Source organism: Homo sapiens, chromosome 3 (assembly GCF_000001405.40).
Source record: "Homo sapiens chromosome 3, GRCh38.p14 Primary Assembly".
NCBI classification, from domain to species: Eukaryota; Metazoa; Chordata; class Mammalia; order Primates; family Hominidae; genus Homo; species Homo sapiens.
The window spans coordinates 106,296,493-106,305,019 of NC_000003.12; the positions used below are offsets into that span (position 1 = coordinate 106,296,493).

Sequence of the window (8,527 nt, forward strand, 5' to 3'; positions counted from 1 at the left end):
GTCAAGTAAAGATTTTTATTCATATCGGTGAGGTGATTATAGCCTGCTGCAGAAAGGGATGACTAGTAATTTGGACAGGGAGATGGTACCTTTGTATTTGCTCCCTCCCCTACCTCCCCAGATATATTTTCTTCCTAATGGAATCTTGACTATACCACCCCACTCTTGAAACTATTCAATGGCTTACTATTGCTCTAAGGATAGAGACTAAGTTTCTTGACATGGTCTGTAGTATCCTGCCTGGCCTGACCCCAGCTGACAGCTCTGATATCAACTCATATTGAAATTTACTCTACTCTCTGTTCTTATCTCAGTTTCTTTCTTTCAGAAACTCCAGGGTACCTTCCTCAGCCCTGCCACAGGATTTTATACTTGTTGCTACAGTTTTCCAAAATGCTCTTGCCCGTTCTTCAGATAACTTACACTTATCCTCAGGAAAGCTCTTCTCTGATTTCGCTAGCTAGGTCAAATAAAATGCCTCCTTGAGATATAATCATAGCATCATAAAGCTCAGTTATATTTATTAATGTAATTTTTTAGTGACTATTCTTCCTCTAGATGGTACGTTCTGTGGAATCAAAGAAAGTCAGTATTGTTCATCTTGGATATCCAATTACCTGGCATATTGACCAGCAAATAGAGGACACACTAAATATTTATGAAATATAAGGATATTTAGGACAAATAAAATTACAAAAATGAAAAGCACCACATATGTGTGTATGTACATAAACACACACATACACACATATATAGTACTTTTACAATTAGAAGACTATAGAACACATCAACGAATGTTAGAACATGAAAATGAGACACTAGACTATAAAAGATAGTAGGTCTTTCAGAAAAGAGATTGAAAAGCCAAAAGAATGAGAATTGAGTCAAAAGAAAAACATAGCAATTAAAACCAGGATCACAGTAAAACATTATTTTAAATTGCTTACATTGATCATATAGCCTACAATTTACACAAAATCTGATACATTCTTATAGATTATTAAATTGCACTGTCAAAACTAAATCTATGACATGGAAATATCATCGTGACACAAAGATTAAATGTGTTGCACAATTGAAGATCACCTTTTAAAGAATATGTTAGCTTTCTCTGACAGAAGAGTGTAAAATTATGCTTTCCTGACTCTTAATAAATATAATAATTATTTCTACCTAAAATTAATAAGTGTTCTTACAGGTAGATAAGCCACCAATACCACAGGTGATGATAATTCAAGGTTACAATAAAAATATTGGTCTTTTTTTTCCCCAGTGAAAGACCCATGACAACTGTATGCTAGCATACAGCAGGTGTGTACTGCATCTCAAACACCCCTGTTTCACTTTCTTCCTACTGACCAAGGACAAATTTAATTTGTGGGCTCTGCCCTCATCACCATTAAGCTGACATGAATAAGAGGACCCATTTCAAATTGATTTTAAGTTTTCAAAAAATGAAAGCATATAAAATATACCCCAAAAAGTTTGACTTCAGAACACTGCTTCACACTAACAATACTTAGTATGGTCTGGCTCTGTGTCCCCACCTGTATCTCATCTCAAATTGTAATCCCTACATGTTGAGTGATGGACCTGGTGGAGGTGATTGGATCATGGGGGTGGGTTTCCCCTATGCTATTCTCATGATAGAGAGTGACTTCTCATGAAAACTGATGGTTTAAAAGTGTTTGGTAGGTCCCTCCTCCCTCTCTTTCTCTCCTGCTGCCATGTCAGATGCGCCTTGCTTCCCCTTCACCTCCCACCACCATTGTAAGTTTCCTGAGGCCTCCCCAGACATGCAGAACTATGAGTCAATTAAACCTCTTTCCTTCATAAATTACCCCGTTTCAGGCAGTTATTTATAGTAGTGTGAAAATGGACTAATACAATACTTAATATTTTTACAAGCCAAATCATTTTCTACATAATCATTTAATATAAATAGACAGTTAACAGAATAGGAAAATCACCATGAAAATCTGTGTTCCGCAGTATCATTTACTTTATTTTCACAACATACTATGTATACACGGATAGCGTGGTTTGGATGTGTGTCCCCTCCAAATCTCATGTTGCAATATGATTCCCAATATTGGAGGTGAGGTCTGGTGGGAGGTGATTGGATCAGGGAGGTAGATTCCTCATGAATAACTAAGCACCATTCCCTTGGTAATAACTGAGTTCTCACTCACTTAGATCTGGTTGTTTAAAAGTCTGGGACCTCTCCCTTCTCTCTCTTGTTCCCTTCACCATGTGATATGCTGGCTTCCCTTCCCTTCCACCATGACTGTAAGCCTCCTGAGGCCCTCACCAGAAGCAGATGTTAGAACCATGCTAGTACAGCCTGCAGAACTGTGAGCCAATTCAACCTCTTTTTATAAATTTCCCAGTCTCATGTATTTTTTTTATAGCAAGGCAAGAGCACATTTACACAGATAGGCATTTATATGAATATTAATAAACATGAAAAGACTATTTGATTTTTTATGGTGAAATCAAGTCACATTTACCAAATAAAAACAAATATTTCTACTGATAAATTTTAATAAAGCTTAATGACTACTTGTATCAATTTTTGGGATACATGTGTAGTTCTGATTGATATGTAGGACCACATTTGCCATAAAACAAATATACAAAAATCATTGATTGTGGTTTTTTTCTATTTTGAGAATTACTCAGGTTACTAAAATGGTAAATTAGAGTTTAGAAACAGGAAACCTGAAAACATATTTTTTTTCTTTAAACCCAATTACCTAACTACACTTTGAGTTCCTCAAGTGTAGGGCCTTATTTATTTTCATGTTCCATCTCTGAATGAAATAACTGATGCTAACAGCTGTAACAAATAACATCAAAATCTCAGGAGCTTTACAGAATAAAAGTTCCCTTCTTGCCCACAGATTAATCCAGTGCAGATATTACTGGGAAGGCAGATGCTTGGGTGACATTGCAGGGTGTGTTTCCTCTAAGTGGTGACTCAGAGATGCAGTTCTTGATGCCGTATCACCTTTAAATGACCTTTCAGATTGCTGCAAAAATAGAAGACAGAGTAAAAAGTTTTGTGTGTGAGATTTTCATAAACCATATCTGGAAGTGGCATATATTGCTTCTACTGGCCAGAAGTGAGTTACAGAGCCCCATCTAAATGCAAGGAGTTCGAAAAATGTTTAGTTCTGTTCCTTGGCACAGAAGAGAAAAATAATAGTCTCTGAAATACCCAATATAGAGTAACAGCATAGCAATTGCTTGACTTATATATACCTAACTGAGATGATGTGGAAAATATAGAGAAGAAAAGTGTGTTTTATCACTCTCAGTAAAAGAATTTATAATATAATTAGGGAACAGACACCTGTGAAACAATGTGTGAACAAAGCAATACAGTATATGCCAGTGCATCATTGCACTGACTGACATAGTTAAATGTCAAGTGGTACAGTACAAACCACTAGAGGCAGGACAGTATCCAATTATGTGTTATTATTGTTTTATAATACACCATTACTAAATGAAATAGAAATTTGACTTGAGAGATTTTTCTGGATAGATGTTGTTGGAAAAGTCTTCTGAAGAAGCAGGAACTTGAGGTGAGCCTTGAGGAATAGCTCAGTCATAGATGTTAGTGGGGTTGGTTGAATGAGCTAGAACAGGAGATATGGGTGGGATAGAATTGACAAAAGCCTTGATATGTCAATCTGGTGACCTGTGTTGGTTTATAGGATTAGTATTAGAAATAATAGAAAATAAATCTAAACAGGCCAAGATGGGTTGAGAGGGCATTAGAAATTGAGAGGCTTTCAATCAGAAAGAAATGTTGAAACTCAGTGCAAGAGGCTACAATGAGCCATTATAAATTTATAAGCACATTTACAAGACTGACCTAATGAGAAGATAAATTTAGCAGTGGAGTTCTGTATAGTGTGCCAGTGATACAGATTTGATCGGCAGATTGTGGTGAGTGGAGAGCTTTAGAAGTCATCATTCAAAGATGAGATTTGATGAGGAATAACCTTCTTAATGATTTTGTTGGATACACAGACTAATTGGCCTGTGGATTTTTTTTCCTCCCAAGGGTGCACTGACTTTGGACACCAGAAAGTATCACCATGTACCTTTTTCAACTGTATTAGTTATCTATTGCTTTGTAACAACCCCAAACTTAAAGATTAGAACAAATGTAATTATCTCAAGCTGTTTTTGATATCTATAGCCATGCTTAAATTTTTGTGTTAAGAATTTGAAAGCAGTTTAGCTGGGTGTTTGTACCTTTGTTTCTCTCCTGGTGTTGGATTCAAGCTGTTGGCTATGACTGCACCCATCTGGGAACTTAATTTGGGCTAGAGGATTGGATTAAAAGATGGCTTGCTCACATGGCTGCTGGTTGGAGGCCTCAGTTTCTCAACACAGAAACCTCTTCACAGGGTTTCTTGAGTGTCCTCATGACATGGCAGCCGTCTTCTTCCAAAACAAGTGAAAACAAACAAGAAGTGTTCTTCCAGAACAAGAGAAAAGTGTTTGGTAGGTCCCTCCTCCCTCTTTTCTCTCCTGCTGCCATGTAAGATGCGCCTTGCTTCTTCCAGAAAAGCAAAAACAATAAAAGAAGCCACAATGCCTTCTATTATGACATAGTCTTAGAAGTCATGCATCATTATGTCTGCCATAGATTATTTCTTAGGAACAAGTCATTAAGTGTAGCTCATGCCCAAGTGGAGTGAGACTGAGTTTCTACCTTTTCAAGAAAGGAGTATCAAATAATTTATGGACATATTTTAAAACTACCACGGCAAGTTTGTCTTTGTCTATATCTGAAGGGATCTACTGCAAAATTATTTTCCATTTGGATTATTACTAATTCCAAGTCAAAAGTTTGGATATTTTCTTTCTTTCTTTTCTTCCTTCTCTCTCTCTCTCCTACTTTCCATCCTTCTTTCCTTTGAAATGAGAATTTACATAAATTTGCTTATAAAAGGAAAAGCATTTTGAATACCATTTAATTTTACATTTTATTTTCTTCTAGCCTTCTGAAGCCTTTTTTCTATAATACCCTCAGACGCTTCATAGAATACTTTCCTTCATTTCTTGTGTTAAATGAAACCCAAGTCTCTTTTGAGGACGACATTCTTTTCCGGTAATACTCTTGAGTAGAGGCTACTCCTTCTTCTCTGTCTCATTCATCTAAAAGCCCAAAGTTAGAAACACCACCTTTCCAGCTTCCTATACCATGTATAAATCACTACTCTTTCACTTTTCCAATAAATTTTTTTCTTTTAAAGTCATGTCATTAGGCTATGCCACCTTCTTTCCTGAAGCTGGAAATATTCTTCACCACTTCATCACTTGTACCATTGTCTTCTTCCCTAACCACCAGGAGACTTTAGGATCCTTGTCTTACAGCATGTAAGCCTTGTGATGTTTTAACTTCATAAGCCCAGGCCACCTCCCCTCTACTCTTCACCAGCTTTTTAAATCTATAGCCACACAAAAAATTGTTTCATTTCTGAACTCTTGAAGAGTAGTAAGCACTCTGTTTTTTCTTTTTCCCAGAATTCTCACTCTCATTATCCTGCTCTGAACATAGACTGATTTATGGAGCAAAAGTCCTTTAAAATGTCATTCTCCTTTACTCTATACCATTTCACTTTTAACTCGTATTCTTTCTCTAGCCGGCATCAAATCAAACTCCATCATTGTAGTGTTTCTTGACCTCTTCACCTTGTCCTGCTTTCTTTCCACTTATTCCACTTCTTAAAGTCTGAATCAATCCAGCTCCCCACTGTTACTGATTTGCGGATGAAGGATCCCAGATAAAACCATTTTTCTGAGATAAATATAGATCTATGGACCTCAACTTCATCTTAGAAACACCATAATATGGCTGCGTTAGTTATTTATTGTTGTGTAGTGAATTACTACAAACTTTGTAATGAATTACTACAAACTTAATCACTAAAAACAGTACCCACGTATTATCTCATAGTTCTGGTCATTAGAAGTTCAGGCTGGCTTGGTTGAGTTCTCTGCTTAGAGTCTCATAAAGCCCAACCTGGTTTCTGAACTAAAGGCTTTGAGAAAAAAAAATGCTTCCAAGTTTATTCAAATTGTTCGAAGAAGCCTGCTGGTGGCAGTTATAGGACTGAAACCTCACTTTCTTGCTGGCTATTTGCTTGAAGTGACTCAGCTTTTAGAGATCACCTGCATTTCTCTTCATGTGGCCCCTTTCATCTGCACAGTCAGTAATGACATGCTGAAACTTTCTCATGCTTTCAGATATCTGTGACTTCCTCTTCTGCCACCAGCTCAGAAAACTCTCTAGTTTTCAAAGGCTCATCTCATTAAACCAGGCCCATTCAAATAATCTCCATATCTTAAGGTTAACTGACTTGGACTTTAATTATATCTGCAAAATCCCTTCACGGTAGTACCAAGATTCATATTTGATTTTATAACCAGAGCAAAGAGATCATAAGGAAGCTATATCTGGAATTCTGCTTGCCACAGTGGCTCTAGTTAGCTCCATCACTCATGCACCCAGACAGCTTTTTCAACCTTCGCAATAACCCTATTCCACACATGCCCTTACTCATTGTTAAACTAAGTCTTCACCTATCCTTTTTCTGCATGGAGGAAAATAAAAACAATTAGGTGAGAAAATATCCGTTAAAATTCTGGGCCTATATCTGGTCCTGGAAAAAATTCATGAATTATTTCCTCAGCATTCAATATATCCTGACCCTCTAGCAACCAAAGTTTTAACCCTTTACTTTCTCAATGAGTTCTAACACCCTATCTGCTAAGCCGTCTCTCAGATAAATATCCTCTTTCTCATGCTGTTCCTTTCACTAGTGGTTTTTTTTTCTGTTTTTTAAATAATTTCAACTTTTGTTTTAAATTCAAATGGTACATTTGCAGGTTTGTTACCTGGGTATATTGCATGATACTGAGGTTTGGGGTACAGTTAATTCTGTCAACCAGGTAGTAAAACAGTACCCGACAGTTTTTCAGCCATTGCTCCCCTCCCTTTCTCCCCACTCTAGTAGTCTCCATTATCTATTTTTCTTATATTTATGTCCATGTGTACCCAATACTTAGCTCTCATTTATAAGTGAGAACATGCGGTGTTTGGTTTTCTGGTCCCGTGTTAATTTGCTTTGGATAAAGGCCTCTAGCTGCATACATGTTGCTGAAAATAACACAATTTCATTCTTTTTAAGTGGCTGTATAGAATTGCATGGTATATATGTACCATACTTTCTTAATCCAATCCACCATTGATGGACATCTAGTTGATTCCATGTATTTGCTACTGTGGATAATTCTGCAATGAGCATACAAATGCATGTACTTTTTGGGTAGAAAGATTTATTTTCCTTTGGGTATATACCCAGTAATGGGATTGCTAGGCCAAATGGTAGTTGTGTTTTGAGTTCTTTGAGAAATCTCCAAACTGCCTGCCAAAGTGACTGAATTAATTTCCATTTCTGCCAAGAGTGTATAAGGATCTCTTTTTCAATGTAGCCTCACCAGCATCTGTTATTTTTTGACTTTTTAATAATAACAACTCTGGTGTGAGATGGTACCTCATTGTGGTTTTGATTTGCATTTATTTGATGATTAGTAATGCTGAGCATTTTTCATGTTTGTTGGCTGCAGGTATGTCATCTTTTGAGAAGCATCTGTTCATATCCTTTGCCTACCTTTTAATGGGGTTGTGTTTTGCTTGTTGAATTGCTTAAGTTTTTTTATAGATTCAGGACATTAGACCTTCATTAGATGTATAGTTTGAAGATATTTTCTGCCATTCTGTAGGCTGTTTACTCTGCTGATAGTTTCTTTTGGAGTAGACAGACTGTGGCCCTATCTTCACTGTTCCTCACCTGGCAGGGCCTGCCAGCTTCAGCCCTCAGCACTTTTTTCTTCGTTTCCTTTCAGCATATAAATATATACTAGTTACTCTAATATTAAAAAAAAGATGAAAAAAACATTTTTATTCCTTCATCTTTCTCTATCTATTGCTTCTTTTCACTCTTTTTGGTTGATACTTGGATATTTTTGTCTACATTCTCTGTATCAGTGTCTACAGTATTTCACAACTAAGTTATTACTGAATCTATTTTAATTTCATTGCTCTACAGATTATGTCTTCCCCCCAGAACATTACTGAAACAGCTCTTTATAAGGCTACTAATGCCCTTTCAGTATTACATCTAATGGCTACTTTTCAATACTTTCCATAAAACTTTTTACGGCATTTGAAAATATTGATTGTATTTTCTTTCTGAAGTGCTTTTTTCTCTAGTTTCCAAAATAGTTTGCTACTGACTTTTCACCTTCCACTCTGCAGAGGCATCAAGCAAAACAAATAATGTAGGATGGGATACAATATGAGAAATTAGAGATAAATGTCTCCAAGTGAATGCACTCATAGAATTTCACTATTTTTGGTTTACCCTGATGTAAAATTTTGAATGCTTATAACATCAAAGATCAAATTAAACATATTTTACATTTAACAAAGCTAATTTCC

The 8,527-nt window shown here is 36.4% G+C and overlaps 1 long non-coding RNA gene across 1 annotated transcript; it reads right to left on the reverse strand.

Annotated features, from left to right (window-relative positions):
- LOC107986112 (uncharacterized) lies at positions 2,392-7,779 on the reverse strand. The gene is made up of 3 exons (XR_001740840.1): positions 7,698-7,779; positions 4,270-4,573; positions 2,392-3,032 (listed from the first exon to the last, which is right to left on the reverse strand). It is a non-coding gene; the product is annotated as an uncharacterized LOC107986112 (long non-coding RNA).
- Between the last annotated feature and the right edge of the window lie 748 nt (positions 7,780-8,527).